This window comes from Homo sapiens, chromosome 11, assembly GCF_000001405.40.
Source record: "Homo sapiens chromosome 11, GRCh38.p14 Primary Assembly".
Classification (NCBI taxonomy): Eukaryota; Metazoa; Chordata; class Mammalia; order Primates; family Hominidae; genus Homo; species Homo sapiens.
The window spans coordinates 57,353,511-57,368,915 of NC_000011.10; the positions used below are offsets into that span (position 1 = coordinate 57,353,511).

General features: G+C 48.7%; 1 protein-coding gene across 7 annotated transcripts in view, besides 1 other annotated feature; it reads left to right on the forward strand.

Moving 5' to 3' along the window:
• P2RX3 (purinergic receptor P2X 3) overlaps positions 1–15,405 on the forward strand; it is a 36,447-nt gene that overhangs the window by 17,561 nt on the left and 3,481 nt on the right. For 6 of the 7 annotated variants that reach the window (XM_011545070.3, XM_011545069.3, XM_011545072.3 and 3 more), the window contains 2 exons: positions 14,499–14,592; positions 14,862–14,927. In XM_011545070.3, the coding sequence (XP_011543372.1) occupies positions 14,499–14,592; positions 14,862–14,927 (160 nt within the window). Of the gene's footprint in view, positions 1–14,498; positions 14,593–14,861; positions 14,928–15,059; positions 15,276–15,405 lie in introns of all 7 variants that reach the window. The other variant, XR_949950.3, reaches the window with a different exon arrangement.
• Positions 11,389–11,890: an enhancer, noted in NCBI's record as "H3K4me1 hESC enhancer chr11:57132373-57132874 (GRCh37/hg19 assembly coordinates)". NCBI's record gives its function as "activates a minimal SCP1, AML or CMV promoter by ChIP-STARR-seq in primed H9 embryonic stem cells {active_cell/tissue: H9 hESC(primed)}" and the evidence as "EXISTENCE:reporter gene assay evidence [ECO:0000049][PMID:30033119]".

Consider the following 15,405-nt stretch of genomic DNA (forward strand, 5'->3'; position numbering starts at 1 on the left):
CAGAAAAAAAAGCATGCCTATGTGGTTGACACTTTCATCCCAGCTTAAAAACAAAGAATCTAAGTTCCAAGGAGATTTCAAGACTAGCAGATGCTGGCAGCACAATTCATAGCCCGGCCTTTTGTCTCCCAAACAATTCATTTGCTGCTCCCTCCAACAGAGGCAGATTTTTCAACACCCCTACTGTTGCCATTTGCTCTGGAGGGAATGGAATTATTCAGCCAAGATTCGGCCGTGTTTGAATCTGCTAACTAAGACATCCAGAGGCAGCTAGAGATTCACATTTCCATCACTAATTACATTCGCAGCTCCCTTCCAAATGTCACTCCCCCCCCCCCGCCCCTATTTTTTGTAGCTCTTTGCCTGCAGAATCAGAGATTTTGAGAATTTATAGCTGTTGAAGTTCCCCTTGCAGTCACCCAGAGTAAGGCGGTCACTTTACAGATGAGGAAGCGGAAGTTCCAAAGGGGGCATCTTAGAGTAGCCTCAAAGGTCATTGGATCTCAACTCCTAATGTGACCCTTGTGATTTAAAGGAGTTTACGGACCCATGTAAGAGATTACAGGCCCATGTAATCACCCTGACACTGGGGGATATCTGATCTCCGTGGCAAGCAAAGTGGCCTGCTCCATTCATTGGAAAGGTGACCTCAAATTGAGCCAAAATGTGCCTCCCTTTAAATCCTCTCCAGTGTACTTGGTGCTGTCCATGCAAGTTAATCTTTATTTTTGTGATCCCCTAAAGATTCTGTTCTTCCCCTACCTGAAATTTAGTGGAGACATTTTATTTTTACTCCTTGGTCTGTTCTGCGTGGCTAAAGACTCCGTGGGCCGCTTTAACTTAGTATTTTTATGAAGCCTCTTTCTAAGCACACTGAGATTGCAGTTGGTGGGGTCATCTGGATTTCTAGCAGACAAAATGCAGCAATTTCTAAAAATAAGAACTGTTGAGAGTCACCAGTTCAGTGCTGCACAAGTGAAAGGCGCCCTCAGCAGAGCCCTGCAGTTCTTCAGGAGGCTCTCTTCTCTGTTGGCAAGGTTTCTGAGGCCCAGGTAGACCCTCAATTCACAGGAGCAGGATTTTAACAAGAGTACTATATTTCCCAAAGTCCTGGGAACAGGTGATGTTGTGTGTGTGTGTGAGTGTGTGTGCACATGCGAGTTCGTGAGAGTGGGTGTATTTGTTAGTGGGTGAATGTGTGAGGCTGAGAGTGAGTGTGTCAGTGTGTGTGTGTGTGCGTGAGTGTATAGGCATTGATGGTGCAATGACAGATTAAAAATACTGTATCCGTCAGGGTCCCCGCAGGAAACAGATGGCACATTCTAACTGGGTAATCTGAGGAGAGTTTAATAAAGGGACTGTTTCAAAGGTGTGGGCAGGGTGTACGGAAACCACACAGATAGTGCAGTGCCAGGGCCAGAAACAGGACACTGGTTACCACCCAGGTCTGAAGAGGCGAGGAGAGGAAGCAGTGACAGGAACATGGAGACGGACAGAGCTGTGAGCAGAGGACAGCCTGACATGTGGCTGTGACTCAGGAGAGCCCCACCAGAAGCCAGAGCTGAGGCAAAGTGGCCCACTGAGGCAGCCCAGGGCAGGGCGAGGAAGGGAGGAGCACGGACCTGAGGGGCACCTGCAGAGATGTCCAGGACAAGTCCTGACAACTTTCATCTGTGAAATTACAGCCCTTCCTTAACTTTCAGAGGTCTCTAACTGCTTTATGCCCCCGATGAAAATGGGGACCATTGTCCAAGGAAGATGCATGTATTCATAGACATGAGAAAATTCACAGGCAAGTTCTCTTCTTAAAGGATATTTTATTTCTTTTTTTTTTTTTTTTTTTTTGAGACAGAGTTTTGCTCTGTTGCCCAGGCTGGAATGCAGTAGTGCAGTAGTCTCGGCTCACTGCAACCTCTACCTCCCGGGTTGATGCAATTCCCCTGCCTCAGCCTCCCCAGTAGCTGGGATTACAGGTGCCCGCCACCACGCCCAGCTAATTTTTGTATTTTTAGTAGAGACGGGATTTCAACATGTTGGCCAGGCTGGTCTCGAACTCCTAACTTCAAGTAATCCACCCACCTTGGTCTCCCAAAGTGCTGGGATTATACGCGTGAGCTACCACGCCTAGCCAGGTTATTTCATTTCTACAAATAAGATACAAATACATTCTCAGAGTAATAAATCCAACCAATACTGATATATACAAAGTAATGACATGGGAAGTCCCCTTCATTCCCCCAGGCCTGCACCCTTTGCAGGGAATTAACATCTGGGACGGTTTAATGAGTTTCTTTCCAGTTCTTATTCTATGCATTTATATTTATGCAGCATAAAATTCCAAGACTTTGAGGCCCTCTAAAAGCCTATCCCGTAGCCAGGTGTGGAAGCTCCTGCCTGTAATCCCAGCACTTTGGGAGGCTGAGGCGGGAGGATCCCTTGAAGCCAGGAGTTTGAGACCAGCCTGGGCAGCAATAGCAAGACTCCTTCTCTACAAAAATAAGATTAAAAATTCTAAAAAATAAATAATAAATGAAAGCCTATCCCTGCACCTCAGATTAAGAGCCCTAGAGTTAAGTTTGCAAAGCCCTTTCACACCTATTTTTGACAGATCACAGCTCACCATCTTCCCCCACCCCCAAGGTAGGCTCAGAAAGATTTCAAAACTTGCCTGAGATTATACAGCCTAATTAAGAGGCACATCAGGACTCAAACCCAGGGATTTGATCTATATCCATTGCTTCCAGCATGCCTTGCGCCATCACATGGCCTGCAAAAAAGGGGAAAAAAAAATAGCTCTAAGAGATATACCTGGTAGTGATGGCTGGTGTGATTGACGGGAGAGAATCGAAACTGCATTTCAAAATGCCTGATTTCTTGTTTCTCCTCTGAGAGTTCCTAAGACAGCTTTGCTACTAAAAGGCAACGCAGTTTTGGATTTCCTCTTTTGGTGTCTGGGACAAAAAAACATTTGTTCAGCTGCTAGATGTTCCTGGTGCGGTAGGTGTTTCTAGTGATCGTTTTATGTTGGAAATGTACCCACAGCAGCTTTCATGAAGCTCGGAGATTTGGCGCCTGTCCTGCTTCCAGGCAGAAACGTGTGGATCAGCAAGATCTTAGGCCAATTGACAGAGACAGAATCGAAGTGCACCCTTGGCTTTGATCATTCTCTCTACAATCTGGATTTTTCTCTTTCCAAAAGCCATAGAATATGCGTTAAAAGCAGCCAGCACCGTCATTTCCACAGAAACACTTGAAGGCCCTCTTCCATGGGAAGTGTACTTGCTTGAATTCTCCATAATCCATTTTCTTCATCATTTTTAGGTTTCAGTGGAAGTGATGCAATTAGAGTGATCTTGGATTTAGATAGCCCTTTATCATGTTCATGTCTACCCTATTCTCACAGCAACCAGTATTATTCATAGAAAATATTAGCTAACACTCATTGAACACTTACCAGTGAGCCAGAGAATTAGCAGGTTCTCTGTGTGATTATCTTGTTGACCCTGAAGAGAGAACATTTTAGAGCCAGGTGTGGTGGCTCACACCTGTAATAATCCCAGCACTTTGGGAGGCCAAGGCGGGCAGATCACGAGTTCAGGAGTTCAAGACTGTCCTGGCCAACATAATGAAACCCTGTCTCTATTAAAAATTTTTTTAAAAATCAGCCAGGCGTGGTGGCACGCACCTGTAATCCCAGTTACTCAGGAGGCTGAGGCAGGAGAATTGCTTGAACCCAGAGACGGAGGTTGTAGTGAGCTGAGATCTCACCACTGCACTCCAGCCTGGGTGACAGAGTGAGACTGTCAAAAAAATAAAAAAAGATATAACAACTCAAGAGAACATTTTAGAACTGGATACCTGAGCTCAGGGGTTTCATCTACCTGTCCAAGGCCACACAGCTCCTACTGCTGGAGCCAGAATTCAAACCCTAGCAGTCTGGCTCCAGAACCTGTGCTTGCAACCACAAGTAGGACCAGTATGGTAACGCCCATTCTACAGATGAGGAAACTGAGGCCAAAAAGATCCCTCTCAGGAGCAGAGAGCGAGTAAACTGGCTCTCAGGTACATCTTCTGGCTCCAGGTCCATTGATCTTTCCCTACCTTATTAATTAAAGATAAATTAATAGTAATGCATTTTTAAAGATCAACAAGAAGCGTTTTTTTTAATGCCTGCCTTTGAGGTTGATTTGGTGCCTGGAATATGAATAAATAAGTATGGCTTTGGGCCCTTCTCTAAGGAGAAGAGTTCCAGCCTGTTCTAAGGATGTTGCCCCACCCTGAAGCAAAGAGTCTGCCAGGAGATATTTTCCTATCAGTATAAAATCAACTGTAAAAGTGTATTTCAGCTGGCAAAATTACTTCCCACCAGGCAAAGCTTTGCTGAGAACACCACCACTTTCACTTAGAAACCCAAATTCCAGGCCCAAGTTTTCCCTTGCAAGTCAAACCCGGCTCCGGCAAGTTTGTTGCTGTTTTTCCTGCTGCTGTAACAGTTACGTGTCCCTGCTTTAAGAAGGAATTTCCACCACTCGATGAGAGGATGGATCATTTCTAAACAGATGTCTGAGAGCTTCCAAGGGATTTGTACATCGTGATAAAAAAACCCTTCTCCATTCAGCAAACGTTTATTGACTGCTGACTACTGCAAATGTCAGCTCAGCATGGGGAAGTACTTCTAACAGTTAGAGCTATCCAAAGCTAAATTTGGGCTGCTCCTACAGGTAGTGAGTTTCCTTGCACTGAATGTATTCAGGCATCGGCAGGGAAACCCTTTGTAGATAATGTAGGGAGAACTTTGAAGGTCTCTTTCAACTTCCAGATTATATCACATGCTGGGCTTTGTGGCGAATACAGAGATGAACAAGACCAGTTCCTAGAATCAAGCAAGTTTTAATATAGTGATGATAAATTTGAATCCAAATAACGAAAAATGCTTATACAAAAGAAATATATATATGTTATGCTGGGGCAAGCCAAGGATGGTCAGGATGAAGCAGAAGTAAAGCAGAAGGATGTGGGCTACAGTTCAGGCCTTGCTGTTAATCCTGGATGTGATGTTAAGCACGTCTCATTGCCTCTGTGGGCCTCAGTTTCCTCCTCTGTAAAATGGGCTGGTTAAAGATGATGATCTTTTAGGCTCCTTCAAGCCCTAAAAGTCTGAATCAACATGTGTGGGTGTCTGAGGAAGGGCTGTGGAAATTTGGGCTGCTGAAGCATGCACTATTATTTATAGACCTATCACAATCACGTTGGAATGGAGCTCCAGCCCTGCCCTGCAGAAGCGCATCTGACAAATGATTTATTATGGTAATTGACGTTTGTACTTACTCATTCTTTATCTCTTGCTGGTAATGCCACAAGGGAGCGCACGCACACTCACACACACACGCACTCACACGCACAACATCCCAGCACTATTAGGCCTCAGAATCATTCGATTGAGTCCTGTGTTAGAGGTGTCCTGTCTGGTCACAGCTAGGGGTGTCTCAGTGAAGGCCCCGGAGGCAAAGCACATTCAGCTGGGGTTTGTGAAGAAATTTACACAACAGGAACCAGCATGGGAGTCGAGGCACACAGGGATGAACAAAGTGGGAAGCCGTCACCACTGTAGACCTGCCGCCCCCGCGGGAGGAATGGGAGCCTGGTTTTGAGCTGGGGTGCCTGACAGGAGCAGCAGTCAAAGTGACACAGCCACAGGCAAAATCAAGGCAGAGCAGGGAAGCAGCGAGCAGATACATACCCCATCCCCTCCTTCCCACCCTCGGGTCCCCTGCCAGTGCCGCCCATTGACCAAATTCCCCAGAAACCAGGGGGGAGGAAGCCAGGGAATGTGGGCTGCAGAGGTCCACCTGCAGGGCTGCCCAGACCAGAGACTGGCTCCTGGGGCAAGTGCAGAGTCTCTGGCCCACCAGGTAACCATCCCCGCTGCCCTTCAAGTGTCTGGGCTCCAGTGGCCCTTCCAGCCACGCCTGTCAGAGGAGCCCCCGACCCTGAAAACTCTGGCCCTGCCTGTGCCTCTGGGCTGCTTTCCCCTTTTCCAGCTCAGCGCTGGCAGCTGTTCGGGCTCTGTTCTTTCCTCTGATGCCTATGGCATCATTGCAGTCACAGCCATGCTGTGCTTTCTCCACAGCTGAGGTGTTTTCACAGACACCAGCTTAGCAAGCTCCCTGCCCACTGAGGCTGCAAGGAACTCCTTTTGGCTCCTCTCTTAGGGAGGCAGTAGGGGTAGGCAAGGGCTTTGGAGTCAAGCAGCCAGATTTCAGATCCCAGCTGTGCCCCTTGCAGGCAGAGTAGCCTATGGAGCATGTCTGTGCCTTTCCCCAACCTGTAAAATCAGGCATGTTGCCTGATGACCAGTACCCAATATTAAGAGAAAGCTGTGTGCTAGGTACTATGTTCAGCCTTCACATTCCATAGTCATTTAATCCTCTAGGCAACCCTAGAGCTACTGCTCTCATCTCCATTTTACAGATGGAAAAACAGACTCAGAGAGGTAATTCACCCAAGGTCATATAAACTAGGTGGCACAGCCGGGATTCAGGCCCAGGACTATCTCATTTCAAAGTGCGTAAGCCGCCAGCTAACTCATTCAGCTGTTGTGAGGCCTAAATGAAACAACAGGTGTGGAAGCCTCTAGCCTAGTGCTTAGCAGGAGTAACTGTCCCACATATATTTTCCTACTCTTTCCCGCATTGCCCCTATCGAGAGGCTGGCTCCCACAAGTGGCACCCACTTTCCCACCTAGCTAGCTGCCAAATCTAACTGTGTTCTGCTGGGGAGAGAAGCAGCCTGTTGTTACTACCTTATACTAGCTCCACCTGCAGAATCAGGAGCATTTGGAGAAACCAGTGGCAGCAGGAGGGAGCCCTGAGGACAACCTACCTAAACTCAATCTTTGAGATGTCAAGAATCTCAGAAATTATTTATTCTTCTAGCAAGCATTTACTCAACCCCCTACTGTGAGCATTAGGCCTTTGGGCAAACAGAAACAGTGAGATATGAGGCCAGGCGCGGTGGCTCATTCCTGTAATTCCAGCACTTTGGGAGGTCGAGGTGAGCGGTTCACAAGGTCAGGATGGAGACCATCCTGGCCAACATGGTGAACCCCTGTCTCTACTAAAAAAAATACAAAAAATTAGCTGGGCATGGTGGTGCACACCTGTAATCCCAGCTACTTGGGAGGCTGAGGCAGGAGATGCACTTGAACCCAGCAGGCAGAGGATGCAGTGAGCCGAGATCGCTCCACTGTGTACTCCAGCCTGGTGACAGAGCGAGACTCTGTCTCAAAAAAAAAAAGAAAAAAAGAAAGAAAAAGAAACAGCGAGATATGGCTCATAGTCCGTAGTCCAAATTATTAGCTATAGTCTGGTGTGGCAGATACTGTAGTAGAGGCCTGAATCCTAATGGAGAGAGAAAAGGCAGCCCTGGGGGATGTCCCAACCCCAGCTCATGCCCCTGGTTTGTAGCATTGGCTGGATTTCTGTGAGGTAAATACTCCAGGATGGTCAATTTCAAGCTACCAAGGTGAAGTCACTAAACATGGAATTGGGAAGAGATGCACACAATTGGCTGCCAGCTGGGATGTGTGGACCCAGCTGCTGCCACTTCCATCTGCCTCTACCCACCAGCCCACCAACCCTCTTCCAGCTGCTTCAGAAACACCACGTTCTTTCCCGTGAGAGGGCCTGCAGATCCCTCAGCCAGGAAAGCGGCCCCTGCCTCTGGCCTTCTTGCCCTTTTAACTCTCCATCCTTCAAGCCCCAGCTTGAGGGTCACTTTTTTTTTTTTTAAGTTTAAGTTCTGGGATACATGTGCAGGACGTGCAGGTTTGTTACGTAGGTAAACGTGTGCCGTGGTAGTTTGCCGCACAATAAACCCATCACTTAGGTATTAAGCCCCACATGCATTAGCTATTTATCCTGATGCTCTCCTTCCCCCTGCACCCCCAACAGGCACCAGTGTGTGTTGTTCCCCTCCCTGTATCCATGTGTTCTCATTGTTCAGCTCCCACTTATGAATGATAACATGCAATGTTTGGTTTTCTGTTCTTGTGTTAGTTTGCTGAGGATGATGGCTTCCAGCTTCATCTATATCCCTGCAAAGATCATGATCTCATTCCTTTTCATGGCTGCATAGTATTCCATGGTATATATACCACATTTTCTTTATCCAGTCTATCATTGATGGGCATTTGAGTTGATTCCATGTGTTTGCTATTGTGAACAGTGCTGCAATAAACATGCATGCATGTATCTTTATAATAGAATGATTTATATTCCTTTGGGTATATACCCAGTAAGGGGATTGCTGGGTTAAATGGTATTGCCGGTTTCAGGGTCACTTTCACATGAAGCCTTGCCTAACCCCCAGCCTAGGTTAGACATCTAACTGTGCTCATAGAATGGCACTCCTCTCCTTCCCAACCCTTCCTTATGTCCGATTTTAGCTACTTATGGGCTTGTGTGGTTAATTAGTATTTCTCTCCCTCTCATGACAGCAGAGCTTGGCAAGGTATCAGCAGTACCTAGAACAGTATCTGGCACAGAGCAGGTGTGCTCCAAATGTTTGTTGAATGCTGAAAGAACAAGAGGTCATCTGAGCTGGGCTCTAATGGATGAATAGGAGTCTGCAAGGTGGAAAAGGGAGGCAAGAGGAACAGCATGGGCAAAAGCATAGACATCTGTGTCTGTGGGATGTGTTCAGGAAATGCAGGAAGGCAGGTAGTCTGGTGTGGCTGGAACTTGAGCGTGTGGCAGGGAGAAGAGCTTGCAGATAAGGCAGGTGGACTGGGCCAGGTCGGGAGGAGTCAAGGTATCGAATGGTCCTGTCATTCTCACCAACCCCAATCCTAACCAAAAAAATAAAAATGATCTGGTAAGAACCAGAGGACTTGGGGAAAATCAAGGCTTGGGCATGGTGTATGTAGCTGAGCCATTCCCCTTTTTAGATGAGGAGGCTACAGGGTCCTTCTGTCCTGACACTGCATGGCCCCCCAGGCTTCCTGTTCTGCTCCCAGCCAGTGACTCTGGGTATGGAGACCCACCTAGCAAATGCAAAAAGATGCACCAGCTGGAGAACGAAATTAGTTATGACCCAACAGAAATCAAGCAACAAAAGAACAGTGTAGAATGCTGGCTAAGAGTGTGGGTCCGACAGCTGGACTGCCTGGGTTCGAATCCCAGCTTCACTCACTGTTGGTTTTGTGACCTTAGACAAGTTGCTTCACCTCTCTGATCTTGATTCCTCAGCTGTGACATGGGAATAGCAACAGTACTTAAATGCAATGGGGTGGTTGTGAGCATTAAATGAGCTAATAAGCATAAGCACTTAGCACAGTGTCGGGTCACAGAGGAGTACTCAGTAGATGTTGGCTGTTATTATTACTAATATCATTATCTACAGGAGCCAGGAGAGTGTAATGATTAAAGTAAATGTAGATATTGTTTCATTTTATCTTTATGCTAGGATAAGGGATGTGTTTTAAGCACGGACTATATATGGACACTCTCTCAACTCATCCTCCTCAGAGCTCTTTTTCCTCCAATTTTTCAGTTGAAGTAAAAAGCTCAGAGAAGTCGAATGACCTTCCCAAGATCAAGAAGCTAATTCACAACAGCCATAGCACCACACCCAGATCCCCTAGGGCCTCCTTAGAGGGTTTACTCCTGGGATATAGCATCATGGGACTGTGCCCTCTGTCTAATCCTGAGTAACTCCCCAACTTCAGCTCTTTCTTTGTCCCTTGGCAAATTACATCTCTCAGCCATGAAATTCTGAGAGTTTGCAACAGTCAGGGTTAGCATTGCTAGTTGCTATAACAAACAAACCCCTCATTTCAGTGGCTTAATGTGAAGGTTGATTTCTTACCTATGGCACAGTGCACTGTGGGCCAGTGGGGGTGGGGAGCGCCATGCAGTCATTCAGGGATCTAGGCTCCTGCCATCTTGACTCAGTCTCTCTAGAGCCTCAGAGTCCTCTCCTGACTCCTGAGCAACTGGCCATCAGGTGAGGAAAGGGAAGACATAGAAGGTACACTGCTCTAAACTACCTCAGTCCAGAGGTAACAAACCTCACGGCCATTCATATTTCATCAGCAAAAACTAGTCATGGGGCCCCAGCTAAATGCAGGGGACTGGGAAATGTGGTCTAATCATCTGCAAAGAGAGGAGATAACCAGACCCTGGTGACCAATGAGCTGTCTCTGTCACAGGGGTGGGCAGATTCTGTGATCCCCATCGGCCACAGGAGAGTGCAGAAGCTGGGACTTCTGGGTTACCCCCTCTGTCTGCAGCCTGGGCCCACACTCCCTGAGCTCTGTTCCTCCTCCCTCCACCCGGGAAGAGAACCAGTCCCTGCCAACCCTCCTCAGAGGGTGGGTGGTTGGTGAGATAATGATCTTACCATGCTTATTGCCTCTTGGAAGGCAGGTGCTGGAGAAAAACCAAGTCCGCTTTGATTTTTCTCCCTGTTCCCTTCACATTCCTTCCCAGGATAAATTTAGCCAGCCCTCACTTTGAACGGCAGTGCCCAGGATACGACTTTTTGTTCTCCAAGTTGATGTCACTGTCAGAGCCGTTTTCATGGTTGCAGCCTTTGGCCAGCAGTAAAGATTTCCGGATGACAGGCCCAGCCTCTGCCCTGCCCCAAACCTCTGTGATCCACCCTCTCACCCCTGCCCACTACCCATGGGCATGAGGAACCACATCTCTGAGACAAGGGCCTTAAATTCTCCAGTGATGTGAGACAGGACACAGTATTTAGAAGGCTTTGATATCTTGCACAAGGGCTGCGTTATCCTTAACAGCCTCCAAGAGCTCAGAGGCAGGATGGTTCAAGGGGTATGAGCATGAACTTTGGAGGCATCGGTATGGATTAGAATCCCAGCTCTGGCAAGTTATCTTCTCACCTGTCTCCTCATCTGTACAATGACTCAACAACAGTATAGTCTTCATGAGATTAGTGGAGATGCTTATATTAAGGAACTTCCTATATTGTTGGTGCTCTATAAACAGTGGGCATGGAGACAGTGATGGTCTATAAGGACCTCCTGGAGCCTTCTGCCCATTCCAGATACTTCTTTTGCAGACTTCTTTAAAATATCCCGAGAGTCCTCCTTGGAGAATTATGTTCTTAGGCCCTGTCATCTTTATAGAAATGACGCCCTCTCTTGTGTCCATCCTATTATCCTCCTTTTGCTGCACCTTGAATTCATTCTGTTTTGCCTTGGTTGTGAGGCTGTCTTCCTCCACCACCTAGACTTGAACTTAGCATCATTTTAAAGCTGGTTTAGCCCCTCCCCTCTTTCCTTGACCTCCAAGCCCTCTTCCGGATAAGTGGTTGCACTTCTTTCTGCTGCCTTCCAAGGTCCACTCTCATTCTTACTCTGGGTCTTACTCTTTCTTGGGATCCCCTTGCCTCCCCTGCCCCTCCCTCAGCTGCACAGCCCACAAGGAAACACCTTCCCAGGTCAGGCTGCCCTGGAAACCTTTTTTTCACTGAGTCGTTCTCAGCCTTACTCGAGCAACAGGTACATCACTCAGGCACACCAGCTCTGCTTGTGCCCACGCATAGGCAGAGACAGAAAATGTGTCACCCATTCTCCAGTGCTCCCTCCTGACCCAGATAAAGCTCTCTAGGACTGAGCTTGCTCCTCTGTAAAGTGGGAGTGGTCAGGGTAGGTAACCTGAGGGGAAACAGTGGGTGGTCTCACAGGGGTGACTGAATAAAGAGACTATACACAAAGGTGCATTCCAGGTAAAGGGAAGGGAACTAACCAGGCCAGTGAAGGGCCTCTGTGCTGGCAGTGAGGCCAAGCTGCTACCGCCTAGGCTGGCGGGAGTGAGGGGAGGAGCAATTCCCAGAACCTGAACAAAAGCTGAGGCTGCCCAGCCACCTCAGTGCCCTGGCCTCTCTTTTTCCCTGCCCTCTGATCTCCTCTCAGCGCCTTCCATTGGCTGAACCCACCTGGAAACGGAGGCCAAAGCGGTCTTTGCAGATCAGGCTCTCAGGGCCCAGAGCTGGGCACAGAAGGGACAGAGAATGGCTGTGGAGGAGCAGACAGAATCTCTAACACAAGAATCTCAATGGTGTTCGCATTTACCCTGTCTCACCAACAGACCTTCTAGCAGGGCATGAGCACACCTGTGCTTATAGACATGGAAATGGACACCCTGAAGGCTAAGGAACACCAGAGGCCACATTAACAAGTGGGGGAGCCAGGATTTAGATTCATTTCTGCCTAATTCCAGAATGCCCCACTGCCAGATGGCAGCCAGAGCAGATAGTGGCATACGTTCTCCTTCCCCATCACAAGTTATCTTCCTCCCATGCCTGTAATCCCTCAATGACTGATTCACTGGGGCTGAGCATTTCCTTCTCTCTGTTGTACAGGTTCAAATGCAAATATCCCTGTCAGGAGCATCACGTCAATCACTGAACACTTTCAGGGAATCAGTTTCTCAGGCCCCTGGTGGGAGAGGCCTGGGAATCTGTGGGGACTGGAGACACTGAGAGGGAACAATGTGGACCCCACACGGCTAAGGAGTTTTCTGGGCCCTTTCACTCCTGTGATTTCACTTAATCCTCACCACTTTCCAAAGTTACTGGCATCAGGAACCCATTTTACAGCTGTAGGACAGTAGCCCAAAGAGATGACACTTTCCTAATGTTAGAGTTTGGCCCGTGATGAGCAGAGCCACGCAGCAGGAAGTGCACTGGCTTTAGAAGCTGAAAGACTGATGCGATTTGAATCCCAAATCCAGCACTTCACTAACTGCGAAACCACAGGCAAATCTCCTCCCCACCATAGGCATCTACAAAATGGGGGTCTGAACACTCACGTCTCTGTGTTGAACACTAACCCCTGTTTGTGGTGAGAATGAAATGGGATCATTTTCCTGAGTCCCCGGCATGGTTCATGGCACCCAGAAGCCAAGGCAGAGAAGGTGCAGGGGTCAAAATCTTGGACTTGGGCAAATCTAGTGCTGAGCTCACCAGCTGGTGAACTCAGCACCAGCTCTGGGTAACCCCAGACAAGTCTCCTTACCCTCTCAGAACCTCATTTGAAAAACAGAGCAATCACATGCCTATCTATAATTGTCCGCTTTCCGTTGCTTCTACAAAATACCTGAATCTGGGTAATTGACAAAGAAAAGGAATTTATTTCTTCATGTATAGAGGCTGAGAAGTCCAAGGCTGTGGAGCCAGACGCATCTGGTGAGTCTTCCTACTGGTGGGGACTGCAGTCTCGGGCGCAGGGTGTCACATGGAGAGGGGGCTGGGTGTGCTAACGTGCTAGCTCAGATCTCTCTTCCTCTTCTTACAAACCCACCAGTTCCCCTCCCATGATAGCCCATTAATCCATTAATCCATGAATGGATTAATCCATCCATGAGGGCAGAGCCCGCAGGGTCCAATCGCCTCTTAAAGGCCCCACCTGTCAATACTGCCACATTGGGGATGAAGTTTCGACATGAGTTTTGGATGAGGACATTCAAACCATAGCACTATCCCAAAGGTTTGTTGCAAGGGTGAAATGAGACGAATAGTCTGAAAGCACCTTTCAAAACTGCTCTATAAATGTAAACAACAACAATGGGTTTCCTGAGTGCTTAATGTATTCCAGGCACTGTCTACACCCCTGACGTGTGTGGTTTCACTCAATGCTCATGGCAGCCTTATGAAGCAGGACTTTTGTATAGTATTCCCACCCACAAATGAGGAAATTGAGTCTCAGAGATGTTAAGTAACTGGCCCAACGTTGCACAGTCAGTAAGCGGCAGAGCCAGGCTTTGAGCCCAAATAAGCAGAGTGAGCTGGGCTCTGGGAGACCCAGACAAATGGAACTGAAGAAGCTTGGAGTCTAGCAGTGGCTCAAACTTTCTAGCACATCAGAATCACTGATGGAAATTATTTAAAAGGCAAGTTCTGGCCGGACGCGGTGGCTCACCCCTATAATCCCAGCACTTTTGGAGGCCGAGGCGGGTGGATCACTTGAGGTCAGGAGTTCGAGACCAGACTGGCCAACATGGTGAAACCCTGTCTCTACTAAAAATACAAAAATTAGCCAGGGATGGTGGCGCGTGCCTGTAATCCCAGCTACTCGGGAAGCTGAGGCAGGAGAATCACTTGAACCCAGAAGGCAGAGGTTTCAGTGAGCCAAGATCGCACCACTGCACTGCAATGTGGGCGACAGAATGAGACTCTGTCTCAAAAATATAAAAATAAATAAAAGGCAAGTTCTTGGGCTGCACCCACAGAGATGCTGATTCTGTGGGTTCAGGGTGGAGCTCAGGAATCTGCTTTTATAACAAGCCCCCAAGATGATGCTTGTGTGAGGGGTCAGCTAACCACACAGGGAGGAGCGTGGCAGTTGTCTCAGCAAACCGTAAGTAAGGGTTGCTCAGTGAGCCAAGACACAGGGCTCTGGAGGACCCAGAAGGTTCAGGCAGGAGAGACAGGATCCCACAGAGGGACCCATCTCTGCCTCTGACCTCCAGGTTTGCCAAGTACTACAAAATGGAAAATGGCAGTGAGTACCGCACCCTCCTGAAGGCTTTTGGCATCCGCTTCGACGTGCTGGTATACGGGAATGTGAGTCCATGGGCCAGGCAGATGGGGTGGACAGGGGAGGCAGCCCAGACCACCTCTCGGGTTCTGAAAAAGCTCCTCTGGGGGGCAGGGGTCTGCTGCTGGCCAGCTTTGACACCCTCAGTGGGTCACTCTCCCATCAATTCACCTGTCCCGTGAAGGGGAGGGATCTGCTGATCCACCAAGAACCCTTCTGGCGCCACGTGCAGCCTCGGGCCTCACCCCCATCCCATGGGCCCTCTGCCCACTTGCCTTGGTCTTTGTGCACACAGGCTGGCAAGTTCAACATCATCCCCACCATCATCAGCTCTGTGGCGGCCTTTACTTCTGTGGGAGTGGTGAGTTCAGCCCCTCCACGCTCTGACGGGCCAGTCAGAGTGGGGCCCGGACTGGTACCAGCAGGCAGGGGAGTGACGGCGGCAAAACTCTGCCTCTGCCTGGAATGTAAAACCCCTACCCCCACTTGCTAGGTGCTTCAGTCTCCTTGGCCACCACCCTGCTGCGTCAGCCCTGGCTGGAACGTCTCCAGTCATGGAGAGCTCATTACCTCCGGAAGCAGCCTTCCCGTTTTCAGGAGACTCCACCTGTTATAGAGTTCCCGTTTCTCACCGTATAGCTGGGGGAGGAGGCTCTGGGTTTCTGCAGACCTGAGATGCCTTAATGAGGAACAGAGCCCACGTGGCATGGTGGGCACATAGCCTGCCTTCAGGGACTTCCACCCTTCCACCCCACGCAGTCCTCTCTCTGTGCAGCTGTGGTCTGGGTCACCCCTAGGAGCTGGGAAGGCAGCCCTGAAACATCCTGCAAAGTCCCTGG